Source organism: Homo sapiens, chromosome 9 (genome assembly GCF_000001405.40).
Source record: "Homo sapiens chromosome 9, GRCh38.p14 Primary Assembly".
Taxonomy (NCBI): Eukaryota; Metazoa; Chordata; class Mammalia; order Primates; family Hominidae; genus Homo; species Homo sapiens.
In genome coordinates this window covers 32,679,287-32,702,121 of record NC_000009.12, presented here as the reverse complement: position 1 = coordinate 32,702,121, position 22,835 = coordinate 32,679,287, and the positions used below count along the sequence as shown (strand labels likewise).

At 41.1% G+C, this 22,835-nt stretch overlaps 1 long non-coding RNA gene across 2 annotated transcripts in view; it reads left to right on the top strand.

Moving 5' to 3' along the window:
• The window catches only part of LOC105376017 (uncharacterized), a 104,021-nt gene extending 81,186 nt beyond the window's left edge, over positions 1 to 22,835 (top strand). Inside the window, exons 6-7 of one of the 2 annotated variants that reach the window (XR_929559.2) lie at positions 21,447 to 21,513; positions 22,114 to 22,835. This is a non-coding gene — a long non-coding RNA (uncharacterized LOC105376017). Of the gene's footprint in view, positions 1 to 21,446; positions 21,831 to 22,113 lie in introns of those variants that run through there. The other variant, XR_007061451.1, reaches the window with a different exon arrangement.

The following is a 22,835-nucleotide window of genomic DNA, read 5'->3' as shown; positions in this document are numbered from 1 at the left end:
TTTGTTATCTATTGCTGTGTAACAAATTATCCCAAAATTTAGTGTCTTAAAACAACAAACATTTGTTATTTCAGTATCTATGGGTCAAGAATTAAGGAGCAGTTTCGCTGGGAGGTTCTGGCTAAGGGAGTCTCCTGCAGTTGCAGTCAGGCTAGCTGCAGGGTTGCCATCATCTGGAGGCTTTGCTGGGGCTGGACAATCTGCTTTGGAGATGACCACTCACATGACTGTTGGCAGAAGACCTCAGTTCCTTCCCATGAGGGCTCTCCATAGGCTGTTTCAGTGTTCCCACAATCTGGTAGTTGTGAGTCACTTTACCTAGAGCAAACAATTCAGGAGAGAGCAAGAGAAGTTGCAGCACCATTTATTACTTGCACGCTATCACAGAACCTTTTTTCTCAATTAACTAGAAGCAAGTAGCTTGTTCCCACCCACACTCAAAGGGAGGGGAATTAGACTCCACCTCTTGAAGAGAGGAGTTTCAAAAATTTGTGAACTTATTTTAAAACTAGCACAAAGTGTAAAAGGAATTGCTGCCTGACTCAATAAAACAGAATTTCCCGATGTACCAAATGCAAAGCCATGTGCTTTCATAAAAGCAATAATCTGGGTGCATGTGCAGAAGTAGTCGACAAGAAAGTGATGGTTTTAGAAGGCTTTAGTTATTATACGAGTAGAGAGAAGAGTATTTGTGCTTTTGAGGTCAGGGAAGATTTGATAGAGAGGTGGCATTTCAACCAGCTGCTCACTGATTCTGCTGCAGAACCAAGGCTGAGAACTCTACAAATACAATAAGACTGCAGTAAAAGGATCAATTCATTTTCATATCTGGAAATCATGAGAGGCTTCATGGAGGAGATAATATTTGAGCTGAGCTTGAAAAATGAGCAGAATTTTGATAGAGTACATCTCTGACTGAGGGAAGAGCATAAGCAAGGATCCCCAGTGGTAAGATGTTAATTGTTATAATAATCATTATTTTCTACTGCATAGGAAGAGTATGCAGCTGATATCTTTGAGCTGCATTTTCCTGTGCTACACAATGTGGAAAACTGGTGTTTGTTGTTTTGGTCCGCCCAGCACGCCTGTCCCATTCTTCAAGTAGTCCCAGCCCACTTCCTTTGGAGTAAGACACCTCTTCCATGCAACATTGCAAGATCAAGCACCCTGCCCCTGCTGGACATCGATCAGGTGGGCACATGGCTCAAGACAAGCCAATCAGGTACTCCTCTGGGATTTTGCTTATAGATGCTGAAAGCAAGAAGCTCTCTCTTTCTTCTGGAACTAAGCTGGGATTATGCGAGTCTATAGCTGCCTGCCTGTGGCTGCAACTTCTGCACAAATAAAGCCAATTTGCATTGGAAGAAAATGAGCTCAATGTGTTAACAGAACTAGATGAGCAAGAGAGAGGTGACGGCTCCATTTGAGGTCCTGAAACCAGCTTTATCTTTGGACTTCCCAGTTACATGAGCCAGTAAATTTCCTTCATTTACCTAAGCCAGCCACATAAAAAGTTCTGAATGATACCCGTAGCTCTTAATGGTGAGACTGATCCGTGTTAACTCTTCATGTTGACCAAGAACATATAACTATACAATTATAAAGTAACTGTTTTTGTCTCTCACTGTCCCTTTAATCCAGACCATGGGACTCATTTTCCCCTGCCACTAGCTGAAAAATCAGGCAGTTGCATGAGTTTTCTGGTTACTTTGGGGTAATAAAAATAATCTCAATCTGGTGATTAAAATGTTGAGTCCTACGAATTTGATTTAAAATCAGCATTTCTCCCCTCCTGCAGATTGAGCATGCTGCATGCAGGAAGGGCTGCGGTCATTTTCTTCTTTTTTTAACTCATCGACTTTTTCTCCTCTTCTCCCATCCCAATAGCTGTGCTTTGTGGTTAGAATCCAGAGAGAGGGAGAGAGGCAGGAGCTCCCTCTGAGAGCCACTGCTGTGCCACTCTGCTCCGGGGCCCTCTTGGCTTGGCGGGCATTTCAGATTGCCCACAGGGCAGCTGCTTTCTCCATGGAGTGCCCCTGCCCTGTGGCTGGTGGTCACTCACCTGCATCCCCTTGACAGAGCTTCTCTATTCCAGATGGCTCTTCCTCCTCAGGCCCTGACAATCCAGCCATCCATTCAGCTTCTCTCTGTTTGCCCTTTAGGTGGTCTTCTTGGAAACAACCTAAGACAAGCCAACGTCGGTTAGCTCCCGTGGGAGGCCCACACCTGGTCTGTGAAAAACACATCATTTTTGCCCCACAAGCTAGGGGAGCCTTTTGTCTTTCTTTCACTCTGCTTTTGAAGCAGCTAGCCACCTGCCTTCAGGTGGGAGTCACACACTGGACCTCTGTGTCAGTCAGGCAGTTAGAACATATCATTTTTCTCCTAAAAATCAACCTTTTAAAAATTGAGATGAGAGGAAAGGCACCACCTCTGACCTCACTAAAGTGGGCATGGTGGGGAAAAGCTACACTTACATGTCCACAGCTCTCTCTAAAAATCTTCTCCTATTTCCTTGAAGGCCACATTACCAGGAGTCAGGTGGGACCCCCTACCCCTCTTTTTGGGGAGTAGGTTTCATACTACAGCTCTCTCCAAAGAAATCCTCTTGAGAAATGCTTCAATTGCCATCCTCTATACCTTCATTGTGGAAAAAGGGTCTAAGAACCGGGGAGCTGGTTCTTGGCACCTATTTTGAAAATCCCGCAACTTCTTTGGCACCTCATTTGGAATGCAGTTCCCATTGTCTTTGGACCTCTGCTGAAACTTCCATGTAACATTCTGTTCCACAAACCTGCCATGTTTGGTCAGGACAAGGAATCAATTAGATAAATGTATAAAGCGCCATGTAAATGCAAAATAAACTTACGTAATGGGAGATGACATTTTAAAAGTAAAGCTAAGCTCGGTGTATGAGTTGTGATTGTCACGTTGAGAGGTAAATAAGATAGGGGCTGGTGTGGGACAGAGGTTTCAGGTAGGCATGAGTAAGACCGGCTGGAGACAGGAAAGGTTTGTGGCAGGGCATTTTGCTTGTGCGGGTGAGTGAAGGGAAGGCCTCCGCCTGAGCAGTGACAGCCCTGTGTGGCAAGGACCTGCTTCAGAGTGACCACACTTAGGGTGTCATGTTTGGATAGCCCCTAAGTTCAGACTCTACCTTTCAGGTCCCTGGCATTGGTAAATAAAATGGCAATTGTAAATGAAACCTGTGGTTTTCAAACTGCTGTGAGTCATCCTGGAATTTCTTGCAGGAACTTGAGGGACTTCCACAGAAAGGTGGGGGAGCCAGGTGGGCAGGAGTCCCGGCTATCTGTCCCGGTTCCACCAGAGCAGTGTCCTGCTATTCGCTTTATGAAATGGAGATTTTGTGTCTGATTTCATCAGGAAAGAAAGGGAATTCTCCTGCTATAAACCATCTTAAAGCCACTGAGTCAGATCAGTAAAATGCGTGGCTGGAGTGAGTACTCATTATTCTAAATATACAACTTGTCTGCTACTACCATGACTACCAAAAACCACTTATTCAATCCCTCTTAGATTGTGGAACGCTTTCCTGACATTAATTCTAATATTCACAACAACCCAGCAAGAGAAATAATAGTATTCTGATTTCACTGTGATTCAGAGAGATTAAATGACTTGCCCAAGGTCACATAGCCAATATTTAAACTATATGGTTGGATGCATTGACTCCTAAGACTTACAAAGTATTGACTGGACCTCTAGCTAGGCAGACAACATGGTGTGTGTTCTGTGGAAGCAGAGATGGCCTAGTGTCATCACGAGAGGAAACCACCAATGCAGGGCCATGGCGTGCTCTTGGAGGAATGAGGCTGTAGAGGAAGATACAGGGGCAGCTACGCAGCTTTTTTTCTGTCTGTAGGGTTGGGCTACCCCAAGCTCCAAGCAGTTCCTATCAGTAGAAACGGGATTAGCAATGGAATGAGAGTGCTTAGTCTGTGAAGGTTAATCCCTGTTTAAATGGGGGTTGTCATGCCTGTCATCATGTGCCACCCTCCAAATCTCTGGGAATAATTCCTTATTTCAGAAATAAACAGCTGGGTGCTATTAATGTCTCCACATTGAGTTTCATGAAAAACTCATTTGCATTGCAAGACAGCCTCCCCAATTTTTAAAGATGAAACTATGACACAATGTCCCCCAGATGGGACAGGAATTCCAGGCTAGTGACGAGAACCCACCAAAAAGAAGTCTTCTAACTCCTTGGGCTGTCTCTTCAAGCAAAATTCCTTGAGTAGCCAAGGTTGAAGGAGTCACTGCTGCCCTGAGCCTGCGGGGTGGATGGGAGGACCAGGTGTTTCCAGCAGCCTGCTGCCAAGTGTGCAGAAATGGGCTCCCTGTTGAGTCTCTCCTGTTCCAGTGACTGGAGGGTCTCATTAGCCTGTGCACACTAATGGGTTTCTTTAGGGACAATGAGGTCCTTGGGGATGTGGAGGCTGGAGAGAAACTGGTAAAGCTGATGGAGTTTTACAGGTTTCATGGAGTGCAATTTGAATTTATCCCTCCCTTCCCGGTGTAATCCCAGCTGCCTTAACAGCTTCTTTGTGTTTAGCGTTTTTTTTTTTTTCTGGAAGCCTTGACAACAGGGTATTTTGACTTCATTATTAAGAATGTTGACCCTGACATAAGTGTGCTAAAGGGAGAAAAGTGATACAGATGGGGAGCTGGGAAAGAATAACTCAACACCTACAACAAGGTAGCCAACAAAATGTGCTAACTTAAACAGAAAGTATGGTCAGCAGTTTCCATCACTGAAATATATCAAGCTGTCAGGGAGGCATGCAGGCCTCCCACCAGTAAGGACTCTGGGGTCCCTCTCAGTGTCTGGCTCCCAGTGCACCCCCTTTTCCTTTCTACCAGCCCCAGGAAGTTTTTAAAGGGCCACCCCTTTTAAAGTGCTACTCCTCTTTCAAGATTCTGCTCCTTTTATTACTGAGGGAGGAATTCATTGCCTCTGCTTTCTTCACAAAGAGTCCCCATTAGCGCCCTGGCCTGAACACCATTTAAACTGGACAATAAGATATTGCTGTACAATTTTCCTCTGGCTTAGTAATGAAGCCCAAGCCGTCTGTTTATTTACAATAACCCCTTCATCCTCAGTTATAAGATAAAACTCCATGGTGTCTCTGGGACAAGGGATCTACAGCTCCTCTGGCCACATAGGGCCAAGTTAGCCTCATGACATGCTGGCACCCCACAGGTCCAGCCAGCGAGGGAAGTATGTGTGTGAATTGGGGTTTATACTGTTGGGGTGGGTACTCAGGGCTATTTAGCCAGCTAGCAGGACTTCAAGAATCCAAAGAGCAAATAATACTTTAATTGGTGTGGGTAGCATCCTGGTTCTGGGTCTTCCACCCACTCAGGACAAGACCAGAGCCAGAGATGGAATCATGCATGGTAGTTAGGACCATCAACCTGGGAGAAGAAGCCAGGGCAGGTCTGGAAGTAAAGGACTTAGAGGCAGGGTTTCATTCTTCAGATACTCAGTGAGCATCTATCATATGTCTGGCTCTGTGAGGGGACTTTCCATACCTGCCCTCATTTAACCCTAACCTGGAGAAGCTGCTTATAGATAAGGAGGCTGAGGTTCTCAGAAGCTGAAGTGCTTGCTCAGGATTACAGAGCAAAGTAAGGGACTGGGATTTGAACCCAAGACCTCTGACTCAAATTCAGGGCTCTGTCTAGCAAGCTGTACTGCCTTTGCCCAGCCGCAGTGGGTCCCACATAGTCACTGTAAATCCTTGGTTACCTACCCCTTGATGTCTAGTTTGTTTCTTCTTTTTCTGCCATTTCTAGCAGCTATCCACCTAGGGGATTTAGTCCTTCAGTAAGAAAGTGGCAATATGGAGGACTGCCTAAGCAGAATTCTCAATGGAATCTTGCACAGTGAGGCACAGTTTAGAGGGCACTCTTCAACATGCATCTCAGGCATTTCCACTGTCTAATAAGTTAGTATGAATTTTCCGTCTCTGTGCTCTATTTTTCTATGACTCAGGTTATTTTCTATTTCAAACTCCATTTCGCTATCTGGCAGAAAATTTAATCTCAGTTCATTTGAGGTGAAGTTATTTATTTCAGGCTTCTACTTGAGTTAATTTAAGATTTTAATCCCTGACCCCACTACCAACCTGAGATGGCAGTGGTGTTGGGAGATCCAGGGATCTTAGGTAGTGTCATAGCTTCAGGGGCAAGAGGATCAGGCCCCTGGCTGTTGGTATCTTTCCATTCTGTTACTCACTGAGATGGGCAAAACTCCTTGTGCTCAGGCCTTGCCATCCTGCCACACTGGCACCTACCAGAGCACCAAGTTGCTAGCTGGCCTGCAGCCATGCGGTCCTCTCCATTTTGGCTGTGTTGTCCCTGCATCAGGGCTTTAATATCTTTTCAGATTGGTTTTCTCTTTCCCCCCACACTCCTCTGGGGCACAGAGAGGGTCTACTGTTGTCCACACCTTTCTGGTCAGTGGGAAACCCAAAAGGGGTATTTTAGGTCTTCTCTGCTTCAACATCATCCCAATCATCTATGCCCAACTGCTGCCTGCCTGGTGGGGCGGGACGTTCTAGGAGGTTCATGCTGCTCAAGTCCAGTTGGGATGCAGGGCACTTAGGAATCAAGGCAGAGGTCACTTCTCTGAAGTCCACACTCTTGTTTAAAGGTTCTGTTTCTTCATTTAAAGCAAGTCTTAGGGAGTTGTGGGAACATGCCAGAGCCCAGGGAGCTCCTCAGATACCACCACCAGCCCCTTCTCTTCAACCTCAGTTCAGAGAAACTTAAAAAAATCCTTTCTCAGTCATCAGGGAGAGAAAACTGGTTCTGCTGGTTCTTCCCAAGGAATCATGGCCAGCATCAACCTTCCCTCTTTTTTTTTTTTTTTTTTTATTATTATACTTTAAGTTTTAGGGTACATGTGCACAACGTGCAGGTTAGTTACGTATGTATACATGTGCCATGTTGGTGTGCTGCACCCATTAACTCGTCATTTAATATTAGGTGTATCTCTTAATGCTATCCCTCCCCCCTCCCCCCACCCCACAACAGGCCCCGGTGTGTGATGTTCCCCTTCCTGTGTCCATGTGTTCTCATTGTTCAGTTCCCACCTATGAGTGAGCAACTGGCCAGTGAGTGAAAGGGGAGAGGGTGACAGATGAAAATGAGGTGTGTTTGTAGGATTGCTAAAGGACGGTGATTATAACTCATAAAATTGTCCTGTCCCGGTGAAATTGTTTAAACCTGTGCAGTAGTAACTGCAAGTACTTTTCTTTTTTCTTTTCTTTTCTTTTTTTTTAGTATTTATTGATCATTCTTGGGTGTTTCTCGGAGAGGGGGATGTGGCAGGGTCATAGGATAATAGTGGAGAGAAGGTCAGCAGATAAACACGTGAACAAAGGTCTCTGGTTTTCCTAGGCAGAGGTCACTGAGGCCTTCCGCAGTGTTTGCGTCCCTGGGTACTTGAGATTAGGGAGTGGTGATGACTCTTAAGGAGCATGCTGCCTTCAAGCATCTGTTTAACAAAGCACATCTTGCACTGCCCTTAATCCATTTAACCCTGAATTGACACAGCACACGTTTCAGAGAGCACGGGGTGGGGGTAAGGTTATAGATTAACAGCATCCCAAGGCAGAAGAATTTTTCTTAGTACAGAATGAAATGGAGTCTCCTATGTCTACTTCTTTCTACACAGACACAGTAACAATCTGATCTCTCTTTCTTTTCCTCACATTTCCCCCTTTTCTTTTCGACAAAACCGCCATCGTCATCATGGCCCCTTCTCGATGGTCGCTGTCTCTTTGGAGCTGTTGGGTACACCTGCAGAAAGGCTGTCACTTCACACTTGGAAGATTGCACAGCGGCCGGGCAGAGGTGCTCCTCACTTCCCAGACAGGGCGGCCGGGCAGAGGCGCTCCTCACTTCCCAGACGATGGGCGGCCGGGCAGAGGCGCTCCTCACTTCCCAGATGATGGGCGGCCGGGCAGAGGCGCTCCTCACTTCCCAGACGATGGGCGGCCGGGCAGAGGCGCTCCTCACTTCCCAGACAGGGCGGCCGGGCAGAGGCGCTCCTCACTTCCCAGACGATGGGCGGCCGGGCAGAGGCGCTCCTCACTTCCCAGACAGGGTGGCGGCCGGGCAGAGGCGCTCCTCACCTCCCAGACGGGAACGGCAAGTACTTTTCTAGTGCATACTATGTGCTAGGCACGAGATGCTGCCAGTATAATAACTTATTTCTTTCTCATGAATCCTATTTATTCTATATATATAATTATTATTTTAATTTTTGTGGGTACGTAGTAGGTATATATATTTATGGGGCACATGAATGTTTAGATATAGGCATAGAATATGAAATAAGCACACATGGAGAATGGGGTGATTGCAAATATTTTATCCTTTGAGTTACAAACAATCCAATAACTCCTTTAATTATTTAAAACTGTACAAATAAGTTATTATTGATTATAGTAACCCTGTTGGGCTATCAACCTGGTAAGTCTCATTCATTCTTTTTATTTTTTTGTACCCATTAACCATCTCCCTTCCTCCCCAGCACCCTGCTACCCTTCCCAGCCTCTGGTAACCATCCTTCTACTCTCTCTGTCCTTGAGTTCAATTGTTTTCATTTTTAGGTCCCACAAATAAGTGAGAACATGTGATATTTGTCTTTCTGTTTCTGGCTTATTTCACTTAACATAATGACCTCCAGTTCCATTCATGTTGTTGCAAATGACAGGCTTTCATTCTTTTTTATGGCTTAAGTACTCTATTGTGGATATGTATCACATTTTCCTTATCCATTCATCTGTTGATGGACATTTAGATTGCTTCCAAATCTTAGCTATTGTAAAAGCTGCAACAAACACAGGAGTGCAGATGTGTCTTCAATATGCTGATTTCCTTTCTTCTGGGTATATACCCAGCAGTAAGATTGCTGGAGCGTATGCTAGCTCTATTTTTAGTTTTTTGAGGAACTTCCAAACTCTTCTCCATAGTAGTTGTACTAATTTACATTCCCACCAACAGCATATAAGGGTTCCCTTTTCTTCACATTCTCACCAGCATTTGTTATTGCCTGTCTTTTGGATAAAAGTCATTTTAACTGGGGTGAGATGATATCTCATTGTTGTTTTGATTTGCATTCCTCTGATGATCAGTGATGTTGAACACCTTTTCATATGCCTGTTTGCCATTTGTATGTCTTTTGAGAAATATCTATTCAAATCTTTTGCCCATTTTTTGATTGGATTAGATTTTTTCCTAAAGAGTTGTTTGGGCTCCTTATATATTCTTTTTATTAATCCCTTATCAGATGGACAGTTTGTAAATATTTTCTCCCATTCTGTATGTTGTCTCTTCACTTTGTTATTGTTTCTTTGCTCTGCAGAAGCTTTTAAACTTGATATAATCCCATTTGCCCCCTTTTAACTTTGGTTGCCTATGCTTGTGGGGTATTGCTTAAGAAATCTTTGCCCAGACCAATGTCCTGGAGATTTTCCACAATGTTTTCTTGTAGTAGTTTCATACTTTCAGGTCTTAGATTAAGTCTTTAATCCATTTTGATTTGATTTTTGCATGTGATGAGAGATACGGGTCTCTCATCTATTTCTGCAGTAGTTTTATTCTTCTGCATATGGATATCCAGGTTTCCCAGCACCATTTATTGAAGAGACTGTCTTTTCTTCAGTGTATGTTCTTGGCACCTTTGTCGAAAATGTGTTCACTGTAGGTGTATGGATTTGTTTCTGGATTCTCTATTCTGTTCCATTGGTCTATGTGTCTATTTTTATGCCAGTACCATGCTGTTTTGGTTACTGTAGCCCTGCAGTAACCAAAAGTAGTACTACAGTACTATAGCTATGTAGTAATTTGAAGCCAGGTAATGTGATTCCCCCAGTTTTTTTCTCTTTGCTTAGGATGGGTTTGGCTATTCTGTCTTTTTTGTTTGTTTGTTTTTTGTTTTTTGTGGTTCCATATAAATTTTAGGATTTTTGTTCTATTTCTGTGAAGAATGTCATTGGTATTTTGATAGGGATTGCATTGAATCTGTAGATTGCTTTGGTAGTATGGACATTTTAACAATATTGATTCTTTCAATCCATAAACATTGAATATTTTTCCATTTTTTGTTCACTTTAATTTCTTTCATCTATATTTTATAGTTTTCATTATAGAGATCGTTCACTTCTTTTTTTGCTGTTTACTTTTTTATTAGTACAGATAATAATATTACAGCTTACAAAATGAATTTCTAAGCTTTACTAGTTATGTTATAATCAGTAGATACTAAAAATTCCAAGAAATAAATGACTTTTTTCTTCTTTCTATAACCTCTCCAATCTTTAAAACTTAACTGATGGTTAACGTACTGTAAATAGTTCCAACATCATCATATTGTTTTTGTGTTTTGGATTTGCATGAAAGAACAATAATGATGAAACTCATTCCAATCATAATGTTTATGTTTAATACTGTGAGGAGTTGTACTTTTTTTAGCCCATTGAGCACTGAAGCTCAATTTTAGTGTACAGATCAAGACAAAATCATAACCTTTTAAATGTGTTGCTATATACTATTAATGGCATTATATTAAAATAACTTTGGGCATCAGAGTAGATCAATCTACTTTGGAGGTATGGGCTGAAAATGTTTATAAAATGTTTTATTAAAGTGATTAATAATGAAATATAAATAATTACAGATATTTTCATTGTTCTTTTTATACAGAAGATACACAGAAACTATGATGCAGATTGACTTAGATCAAGGCCATGCTATGTGTGTAATACACTGGTATTATGATATAGATATAAATGACTGTACTTAGTTTTGGTAGAGTGGTTGCCACAAAAATGTTTATCATTTTTGTCAACGAAGGTCAACACATAAAGGCCTGCTCATTTTTTAAATGGAGGTTGAGGTAATGTTATAAATGTGAATTTAAAAGACAGGTTGATGGTCTGATAGGTTTAGATTAGGGAGGAGGCTGTATCCAGCAGAGAACAGCATAAGGAAAGCAAAAGGCACATACTGGGAATCAAGTTTAATAGTTCAGGATACCTGCTCATTGGTAAATAGTGAAATGCAAGGCTAGAATTCTGGGGTAACCTGGCTTGGTAATGATATATATCTATCTATATCTATATATATCACCTTCTGTCATTATATATATATTGAGATGGAGTCTTGCTCTGTTGCCTAGGTTGGAGTGCAGTGGCACTATCTCCACTCACTGCAACCTCCACCTCCCAGGTTCAAGCAATTCTCCTGCTTCAGACTCCCGAGTAGCTGGGATTACAGGCACCCACCACCATGCTCGGCTAATTTTTGTATTTTAGTAGAGATGAAGTTTCACTATGTTGGCCAGGCTGGTCTCGAACTCCTAACCTCAAGTGATCTGCCCACCTTGGCATCCCAAAGTGCGGGATTACAGGCATAAACCACTGTGCCCAGCCAATAATGATAATTATAACGAGAAATAAGCCTTTTAAAGGTTAAGAAAGAGTCACTGAAGTATGATAAATGAAACTAGGAGTCATTAATTTGTTTCCAATTTACCAGATTGGAAGTGAATGGGACTGTTGACATTGGGAAGAGAAAAGGCCTAGTTATCCCATTACTAGTAGTATCGAAACATAGAGGCTGCAGCTACTACAAGGAGAACTGCGTATCTTAGTAGGAAGAGAGGAGGTGATAAGTACAGAGCCTTTCTCTCTTCTCCATCCTGCCCTTATGCCACTGCCAACCTTTTACTCTAAATAACATCTCAGTCTACCCGAGCAAGAATACATTGCTTTGGATATGGCACATTAAGAAAATGAACATGGTTTTACAGCATGGGACACAATTTTTTTTTTATACTTTAAGTTTTAGGGTACATGTGCACCACATGCAGGTTTGTTACATATGTACACATGTGCCATGTTGGTGTGCTGCACCCATTAACTCGTCATTTAGCATTAGGTATATCTCCTAATGCTATCCCTCCCCACTCCCCCCACTCCACAACAGTCCCCGGTGTGTGATGTTCCCCTTCCTGTGTCCATGTGTTCTCATTGTTCAATTCCCACCTATGAGTGAGAACATGTGGTGTTTGGTTTTTTGTCCTTGCGATAGTTTGCTGAGAATGATGGTTTCCAGCTTCATCCATGTCCCTACAAAGGATATAAACTCATCCTTTTTTATGGCTGCATAGTATTCCATGGTGTATATGTGCCACATTTTCTTAATCCAGTCTATCATTGTTGGACATCTGGGTTGGTTCCAAGTCTTTGCTATTGTGAATAGTGCCGCAATAAACATACGTGTGTATGTGTCTTTATAGCAGCATGATTTATAATCCTTTGGGTATATACCCAGTAATGGGATGGCTGGGTCAAATGGTATTTCTAGTTCTAGATACCTGAGGGATCGCCACACTGACTTCCACAATGGTTGAACTAGTTTACAGTCCCACCAACAGTGTAAAAGTGTTCCTATTTCTCCACATCCTCTCCAGCACCTGTTGTTTCCTGACTTTTTAATGATCGCCATTCTAACTGGTGTGAGATGATATCTCATTGTGGTTTTGATTTGCATTTCTCTGATGGCCAGTGATGATGAGCATTTTTTCTGTGTTTTTTGGCTGCATAAATGTCTTCTTTTGAGAAGTGTCTGTTCATATCCTTCACCCACTTTTTGATGGGGTTGTTTGTTTTTTTCTTGTAAATTTGTTTTGAGTTCATTGTAGATTCTGGATAATAGTCCTTTGTCAGATGAATTGGTTGCAAAAATTTTCTCCCATTCTGTAGGTTGCCTGTTCACGCTGATGGTAGTTTCTTTTGCTGTGCAGAAGCTCTTTAGTTTAATTAGATCCCATTTGTCAATTTTGGCTTTTGATGCCATTGCTTTTGGTGTTTTAGACATGAAGTCCTTGCCCATGCCTATATCCTGAATGGTATTGCCTAAGTTTTCTTCTAGGCTTTTTATGGTTTTAGGTCTAATATTTAAGTCTTTAATCCATCTTGAATTAATTTTTGTATAAGGTGTAAGGAAGGGATCCAGTTTCAGCTTTCTACATATGGCTAGCCAGTTTTCCCAGCACCATTTATTAAATCGAGAATCCTTTCCCCGTTTCTTGTTTTTGTCAGGTTTGTCAAAGATCAGATAGTTGTAGATATGTGGAATTATTTCTGAGGGCTCTGTTCTGTTCCATTGGTCTATATCTCTGTTTAGATACCAGTAGCATGCTGTTTTGGTTACTGTAGCCTGAAGTCAGGTAGCCTGATGCCTCCAGCTTTGTTCTTTTGGCTTAGGACTGACTTGGCAATGTGGGCTCTTTTTTGGTTCCATATGAACTTTAAAATAGTTTTTTCCAATTCTGTGAAGAAAGTCATTGGTAGCTTGATGGGGATGGCATTGAATCTATAAATTACCTTGGGCAGTATGGCCATTTTCACGATATTGATTCTTCCTACCCATGAGCATGGAATGTTCTTCCATTTGTTTGTAATCCTCTTTTATTTCATTGAGCAGTGGTTTGTAGTTCTCCTTGAAGAGGTCCTTCACATCCCTTGTAAGTTGGATTCCTAGGTATTTTATTCTCTTTGAAGCAATTGTGAATGGGAGTTCACTCATGATTAGGCTCTCTGTTTGTCCGTTATTGGTGTATAAGAATGCTTGTGATTTTTGTACATTGATTTTGTATCCTGAGACTTTGCTGAAGTTGCTTATCAGCTTAAGGAGATTTTGGGCTGAGATGATCGGGTTTTCTAGATATACAGTCATGTCATCTGCAAACAGGGATAATTTGACTTCCTCTTTTCCTAATTGGATGCCCTTTATTTCCTTCTCCTGCCTGATTGCCCAGGCCAGAACTTCCAACACTATGTTGAATACGAGTGGTGAGAGAGGGCATCCCTGTCTTGTGCCAGTTTTCAAAGGGAATGCTTTCAGTTTTTGCCCATTCAGTATGATATTGGCTGTGGGTTTGTCATAGATAGCTCTTATTATTTTGAGATATGTCCCATGAATACCTAATTTATTGAGAGTTTTTAACATGAAGGGTTGTTGAATTTTGTCAAAGGCCTTTTCTGCATCTATTGAGATAATCATGTGGTTTTTGTCTTTGGTTCTGTTTATATGCTGGATTACATTTATTGATTTTCGTATGTTGAACCAGCCTTGCATCCCAGGGATGAAGCCCACTTGATCATGGTGGATAAGCTTTTTGATGTGTTGCTGGATTCGGTTTGCCAGTATTTTAATGAGGATTTTTGCATCAATGTTCATCAAGGATATTGGTCTAAAATTCTCTTTTTTTGTTGTGTCTCTGCCAGGCTTTGGTTTCAGGATGATGCTGTCCTCATAAAATAAGTTCAGGAGGATTCCCTCTTTTTTTATTGATTGGAATAGTTTCAGAAGGAATGATACCAGCTCCTCCTTGTACCTCTGGTAGAATTCAGCTGTGAATCCATCTGGTCCTGGACTTTTTTTGGTTGGTAAGCTGTTAATTATTGCCTCAATTTCTGAGCCTGTTATTGGTCTATTCAGAGATTCAACTTCTTCCTGGTTTAGTCTTGGGAGAGTGTACATGTCCAGGAATTTATCCATTTCTTCTAGATTTTCTAGTTTATTTGCGTAGAGGTGTTTATAGTATTCTCTGATGGTAGTTTGTATTTCTGTGGGATCAGTGGTGATATCCCCTTTGTCATTTTTTATTGCGTCTATTTGATTCTTCTCTCTTTTCTTCTTTATTAGTCTTGCTAGCGGTCTATCAATTTTGTTGATCTTTTCAAAAAACCAGCTCCTGGATTCATTGATTTTTTGAAGGGGTTTTTGTGTCTCTATTTCCTTCAGTTCTGCTCTGATCTTAGTTATTTCTTGCCTTCTGCTAGCTTTTGAATTTGTTTGCTCTTGCTTCTCTAGTTCTTTGAATTGTGATGTTAGGGTGTTGATTTTAGATCTTTCCTGCTTTCTCTTGTGGGCATTTAGTGCTATAAATTTCCCTCTACACACTGCTTTGAATGTGTCCCAGAGATTCTGGTATGTTGTGTCTTTGTTCTCGTTGGTTTCAAAGAACATCTTTATTTCTGGCTTCATTTTGTTATGTACCCAGTAGTCATTCAGGAGCAGGTTGTTCAGTTTCCATGTAGTTGACTGGTATTGAGTGAGTTTCTTAATCCTGAGTTCTTGTTTGATTGCACTGTGGTCTGAGAGACAGTTTGTTATAATTTCTGTTCTTTTACGTTTGCTGAGGAGTGCTTTACTTCCAACTATGTGGTCAATTTTGGAATAAGTGCAATGTGGTGTTGAGAAGAATGTATATTCTATTGATTCAGGGTGGAGAGTTCTTTAGATGTCTATTAGGTCTGCTTGTTGCAGAGCTGAGTTCAAGTCCTGGATATCCTTGTTAACCTTCTGTCTCGTTGATCTGTCTAATATTGTTAGTGGGATGTTAAAGTCTCCCATTATTATTGTGTGGGAGTCTAAGTCTCTGTAGGTCTCTAAGGACTTGCTTTATGAATCTGGGTGCTTCTGTATTGGGTGCATATATATTTAGGATAGTTAGCTCTTCTTGTTGCATTGATCCCTTTACCATTATGTAATGGCCTTCTTTGTCTCTTTTGATCTTTGTTGGTTTAAAGTCTGTTTTATCAGAGACTAGGATTGCAACCCCTGCTTTTTTTGCTTTCCATTTGCTTGGTAGATCTTCTTCCATCCCTTTATTTTGAGCCTATGTGTGTCTCTGCATGTGAGATGGGTCTCCTGAATACAGCACACTGATGGGTCTTGACTCTTTATCCAATTTGCCAGTCTGTGTCTTTTAATTGGAGCATTTAGTCCATTTACATTTAAGGTTAATATTGTTATGTGTGAATTCGATCCTGTCATTATGATGGTAGCTGGTTATTTTGCCCGTTAGTTGATGCAGTTTCTTCCTAGCATCGATGGTCTTTACAATTTGGCATGTTTTTGCAGTGGCTGGTTCCAGTTGTTCCTTTCCATGTTTAGTGCTTCCTTCAGGGGCTCCTGTAAGGCAGGCCTGGTGGTGACAAAATCTCTCAGCATTTGTTTGTCTGTAAAGGATTTTATTTCTCCTTCACTTATGAAGCTTAATTTGGCTGGATATGAAATTCTGGGTTGAAAATTCTTTTCTCTGAGAATGTTGAATATTGGCCCCCACTCTATTCTGGCTTGTAGAGTTTCTGCTGAGAGATCAGCTGTTAGTCTGATGGGCTTCCCTTTGTGGGTAACCCGACCTTTCTCCCTGGCTGCCCTTAGCATTTTTTCCTCTTTTCAACCTTGGTAAATCTGACAATTATGTGTCTTGGGGTTGCTTTTCTCGAGGAGTATCTTTGTGGTGTTCTCTGTATTTCCTGAATTTGAATGTTGGCCTGCCTTGATAGGTTGGGGACATTCTCCTGGATAATATCCTGAAGAGTGTTTTCCAGCTTAATTCCATTCTCCCCGTCACTTTCAGGTACACCAATCAAGCGTAGATGTGGTCTTTACTCATAGTCCCATATTTCTTGGAGGTTTTATTTCTTTTTACTCTTTTGTCTCTAAACTTCTCTTCTTGCTTCATTTCATTCATTTGATCTCCAATCACTGATACTCTGTATTCCGCTGAAGCTTGTGCATGCATCACATAGTTCTTGTGCCATGGTTTTCAGTCCATCAGGTCATTTAAGGTCTTCTCTGCACTGTTTATTCTAGTTAGCCATTCGTGTAATCTTTTTTCAAGGTTTTTAGCTGCCTTGCAATGGGTTCGAACATCCTCCTTTAGCTCGGAGAAGTCTGTTATTACCGACCTTTTGAAGCCTACTTCTGTCAGCTGGTCAAAGTCATTCTCAGTCCAGCTTTGTTCTGTTGCTGGTGAGGAGCTGTGATCCTTTGGAGGAGAAGAGGCACTCTGGTTTTTAGAATTTTCGGCTTTTCTGCTCTGGTTTCTCCCCATCTTTGTGGTTTTATCTACCTTTGGTCTTTGATGATGGTGACCTACAGATGGGGTTCTGGTGTGGATGTCTTTTTTGTTGATGTTGATGCTATTCCTTTCTGTGTGTTAGTTTTCCTTCTAACAGTCAGGTTCCTCAGCTGCAGGTCTGTTGGAGTTTGCTGGAGGTCCACTCCAGACCCTGTTTGCCTTGGTATCACCAGCAGAGGATGCAGAACAGCAAATATTGCAGAACAGCCAATATTGCTCTCTGATCCTTCCTCTGGAAGCTTCGTCTCAGAGGGGCACCCGGCTGTATGAGGTGTCAGTTGGCCCCTACTGGGAGTTGTCTCCCAGTTAGGCTACATGGGGGTCAGGGACCCACTTGAGGAGGCAGTCTGTCTTTTCTCAGAGCTCAAACACCATGCTGGGAGAACCACTGCTTTCTTCAGAGCTGTCAGACAGGGACATTTAAGTCTGCAGAAGTTTCTGCTGCCTTTTGTTCAGCTATGCCCTGCCCGCAAAGGTAGAGTCTATAGAGGCAGGCAGGCCTCATTGAGCTGAGGTGGACTCTACCCAGTTTGAGCTTCCCAGCTGCTTTGTTTACCTACTCAAGCCTCAGCAATTGCAGATGCCCCTCCCACAGCCAGACTGCCACCTTGCAGTTTGATCTTGGACTGCTGCACTAGCAGTGAGCAAGGCTCTATGGGCATGGGACCCGCCGAGCCAGGCACAGGATATAATCTCCTGGTGTGCCGTTTGCTAAGACCATTGGAAAAGTGCAGTATTTGGGTGGCAGTGTCCCAATTTTCTAGGTACAGTCTGTCACGGCTTCCCTTGGCTAGGAAAGGGAAATCCCCCGACCTTTTGCACTTCCCAGGTGAGGCGATACCCTGCCCTGCTTTGGCTCACCCTCTGTGGGCTGCACTCACTGTCCAACCAGCCCCAATGAGATGAACCAGGTACCTCAGTTGGAAATGCAGAAAGCACCTTCTTCTGTTTTGACCACGCTGGGAGCTGCAGACCTTAGCTGTTCCTATTCGGCCATCTTGGAATGGCTATCGAGATCTTGCACTTCTTTAGTTAATTCCTAGGTATTTAATTTTATGTGTGGCTATTGTAAGTGGGGTAACTTTTTTATTTCTTTTTCAGATTGTTCACTGTTGGCATATAGAAATGCTACTGATTTTGGTTATGTTGATTTTATATCCTGCAACTAAATTTGTTCATCATTTTTAATAGGTTTCTTGTGTAATCTTTAGATTTTTTCAAATATAGGATCATATCATCTGCAAACAACGATGATTTCACTTCTTTTCTAATTTGGATGCCCTTTATATCTTTCTCTTGTCTGATTGCTCTAGCTAGAACTTCCAGTACTGTGTTGGATAACAGTGATATCAGTGGGCATCCTTGTCATGTTCCAGATCTTAGAGGAGGGGATTTCAGTTTTTTCCCCATTCAGTATGATACTAGCTGTGGGTCTGTTGTATATGGCTTTTATTATGTTAACTTATACTCCTGCTATACTCAGTTTTTTTGAGGGTTTTTATCATGAAGGAATGTTGAATTTTATCAAATCCTTTTTCAGTATCAATTGAAATAATCATATGGTTTTTATCCTTCATTCTGTTGATATATCACATTGATTGATTTGATATGTTGAACTTTCTTCGCAAAGCATTTGATATGTTAAGCCATTCTTGCATCCCAGGGATAAATCCCACTTGGTCATGATGAAAGATCTTTCTAATGTATTGTTGAATTTGGTTTGCTATTATTTTGTTGCAAAAAATTGCATTAATATTTGTCAGAGATTCTGGCCTGCAGTTTCCTTTTGTTGATGTGTCTTTATCTGGTTTTGGTATTGGGGTAATGCTAGCCTCATAGAATGAGTTTGGAAGTATTCCCTGCTCCTCTATTTTTTTGAAATAGTTTGAGTTGGATTGATATTATTTCTTCTTTAAATGTTTTGTAGAATTCATCATTGAAGTCATCGGGTCCTGGGCTTTTCTTTACTGGGAGAGTTTTTGTTATGGCTTTGATCTCACTACTTGTTACTGGTTTGTCCAGGTTTTGGATTTCTTCCTGGTTCAATCTTGGTAGATTGTATGTGTCCAGAAATGTGTCCATTTGTTCTAGATTTTCTAATTTACTGGCATATAGTTGCTCATAGTAACTTCTAATGAACCTTTGAATTTCTGCTGTATTAGTTGTAATGTCTCCTTTTTCATTTCTGATTTTATTTATTTGTATCTTCTCTCTTTTTTCTTAGTTAGTCTGGCTCAAGGTTTGTCAATTTTGTTTAACTTTTCAAAATCCAACTTTTTGTTTCATTGATCTTTTGTATTTTTTCACTTCGATTTCATTAATTTCCACTCTGATCTTTATTATTTCTTTTCTTCTACTAATTTTGTGTTTGGGTTGTTCTTGCTTTTCTCATTCCTTAAGATGCATCATCAGGTTGTTTATTTGAAGGTTTTTTTCTCTTTTTTTTTTCTGAGACGGAGTCTCTCTCTGTCGCCCAGGCTGGAGTGCAGTGGCACAATCTCAGCTCACTGCAAGCTCCACCTTCCAGGTTCATGCCATTCTTCTGCTTCAGCCTCCTGAGTAGCTGGGACTACAGGTGCCTGCCACTGCACCCAGCTAATTTTTTGTATTTTTAGTAGAGATGGGGTTTCACCGTGGTCTTGATCTCCTGATGTTGTGATTCACCTGCCTCGGCCTCCCAAAGTGCTGGGATTACAGGTGTGAGCCACCGTTTTCTCTTTTTTGATGTAGGCACTTATAGCTATAAACTTCCCTCTTAGTCCTGGTTTTGCTGTATCTCATAGGTTTTGGTATGTTGTGTTTCCATTATCATTTGTTTCAAGAAAATTTTCGATTTCCTTCTTAATTTCTTCATTGACCCACTGGTCATTCAGGAGCATATTGTTTAATTTCCATGTGTTTGCATAGTTTTCAAAATTTCTCTTGTTATTAATCTCTAGTTTTATTCCACTGTGGTCAGAGAAAATGCTTGACATTATTTAAAATTTTTTGAATGTTTTAAGACTTGTTTTGTGACCTAACATATGGCCTATCCTTGAGAATGATGCATGTGCTAAGAAAAAGAATGTGTAATCTGAAGCCATTGGATGAAATGTTCTGTAAATATCTATTAGATCCATTCAGTCTGTAGTGCAGATTAAGTCTAATGTTTCTTTGTTGATTTTCTGTCTGGAAGATCTGTCCAGTGCTGAAAGTCAAGTGTCTCAAAGTCTCCAGCTATTGTTGTATTGGGGCCTATCTCTCTTTTTAGCTCTAATAACATTTGCTTTGTGTATCTGGGTGATCCAGTGTTGGGTACTTATATATTTAAAATTGTTATATCCTCTTGCTGAATTGACCCCTTTATCATTAGTGATCTTCTTTGTAGCTTCTTACGGTTTTTGTTTTGAAATCTATTTTGTCTTATATAAGTATAATTTCTCCCACTGTTTTCTGGTTTCCATTGGCATGGAATGTCTTTTTCCATCCCTTTATTTTTAGCCTATATGTGTCTTTATGGGGGAAGTGTGTTTCTTGTAGGCAGCAGATCAATGGGTCTTGTTTTTTCATCCATTCAGTCAGTCTGTGTCTTTTGATTAGAAAGTTTAGTCCATTTACATTCAGTGATGTTATTGATAAGTAAGAACTTACTCCTTCCATTTTGTTGCTTGTTTTCTGATTATTTTATGGTCTTCTCTTCTTTCTTTCTTTCCTTTCTGTCTTCCTTTAGTGAAAGGTGATTTTCTCTGGTGATATGATTTAGTTTCTTGCTTTTTATTTTTTTGTGTCTCTGTTGTATGTTTTTTGGTTTGAGATTACCATGAAGCTTACAAATACTATCTTATAACCCATTATTTTAACCTCATAACAACATAACACTGTTTGCGTATTCAAGCAAAAAATAAAAAATACGAACTCTATGCCATAACTTTGTTTCCCTGATTTTTAACTTTTTGTTGTTTCTATTTATATCTTGTACTGTGATATGGAGTTAAAACCAGGTACTATGAGGGCTCACCTGATTTTTGGTTCTTATGAAGGTGTTTTTTCTGTATAGATAGTTATTAACTTGGTGTCCTTGGATGGGTGATGATAGGTGGAGCCTTCTAGTCCGACATCTTGCTGCTCATCTTCCTTCTCCTGCTCCTCCTCCTTTATCTTCTTCTTATTGTTATTATTATTATTTCCCTTTACCAATTAGGAAACTGAAGCAAAAAAGGGGTTAAACAATTTATCTGTGGTGGCACAGTTAGTAACCTTTAGAGCTGGGAGTCAAATCCAGGCATTTTGCTTCCAGTATCTGTGCTTTAAGTGCTCCATGGCTTCACTGCTTACATTCATAAATAATAGATTATTCTTCCTTTAGGCTTGGGCTGGGGCTGCTTTCACATTTACAGTGCCATGGGGACTGGGGCAGGAAGAGAGTGACATAATTTCCACTGAAACCTTATGCTTGCTAATTTCCCACCTTTCCTCCCTTCTTCTCAAACAGATACCACGTCCTTGGGTTGGAGCCCCTTCTCTACTCACGTTGGACATAGAATCACTTTTCCAATCAGGTGAAGAATGAAGGATGCCCTGGAATGAATTTGTGAAGGGGTGTGTGTGTGTGTGTGTGTGTGTGTGTGTGTGTGTGTGAGAGAGAGAGAGAGGAGACAGAGAGAGAGAAAGTGTGTATGTGCATGGTGGGGAGTTCCAGGTAGACAGAACTGTGAATGTAAAGCCTCTATTTTTGAGTCCACAGAAAGCATCTATTTCATGAGTATTATTCTACATAATACATTGAACACATTGTGTTAACTCATTAAGGCAAAGTAAAATTGCAAATTTTGTTCTTTAAAAAAATTATGAACTAATAAACTTCGTTAAAATCTTTTCTCTGCACCTATCAGAATTTGTAGGAGGCAAGTGCACGCAGTCACTGTCATGTGACACTTCTCTTGTACAAACTCCTCTTCCACTTTCTGTACAGGCACATAATAAAATTCTCTTTTCTCCATAATATATGAAACTGGGAAAGTACTGGTGACATTTTGCAATATGGTATAACAACTGGTGAGTTTGGGAAGTAATGATGTAATTGAATTAGGCAAAACTGCTAAAATCCTTATTTTTTCCCATGGAATTCTGCCAACATTTCATTTTCTGTAATTCTGCAGAAGTAATATGAAACAAAATTGGACTTTTTCATCAACTGGAGAAATTGAAACATGTTTATTTAATTGTTATGGCATGCAAGATATTTTCTCAAGACTTCCAGTTAGAAGGGAATCAGAAATTTTGACCCTTTTTTGAAATTCTTGAAAAAGCCCTCAAATTGTAGGAAAATGAAAGTGGTAAGTAAATGCCCATTAAGTAATCATGAAGTGAGAGTTTCTAGAAAGTGAAGAATCTGGGTAAAACAAAGTTGTTCTTAATAACAGAGATTAGAGGCCACATGGCAATGATAGTAATAAAGCAGCAAGAATAATGCTGCCCCAGACACTCTCCGGCGGCTTCAGACAGGTGGACTGATCTGAGCACTGAGAACATTTAAGTGTGGGAAACATTTTACTCCAGCTTTAACTTCTTAATACAAGCTCCAGTTCCACGTGTCCCACTCATGCCAACTGCCAGCACCACCAAAGCCCTTAAAAGTTTCCTTGTCTTAATGGCTTCCACTCTCCCCTCCTCTCAGGCACCCATCATCCCTGACTCAAACCTGTAGACAAGCCAGACCAAGTTACGTCTCTTCAGAAAAGGAGCAGCTTGAACCATTCTACCCACTTCCAGCCTGGCTTCTAAATCTGGGGTCTCTTTGATAATACTCTCAGCCCAGTGGAGAGGAAAGTCTACTGGGGACAGCTAAAATTTGGCCTACCCTTCCTAGCACAGCCAGTCC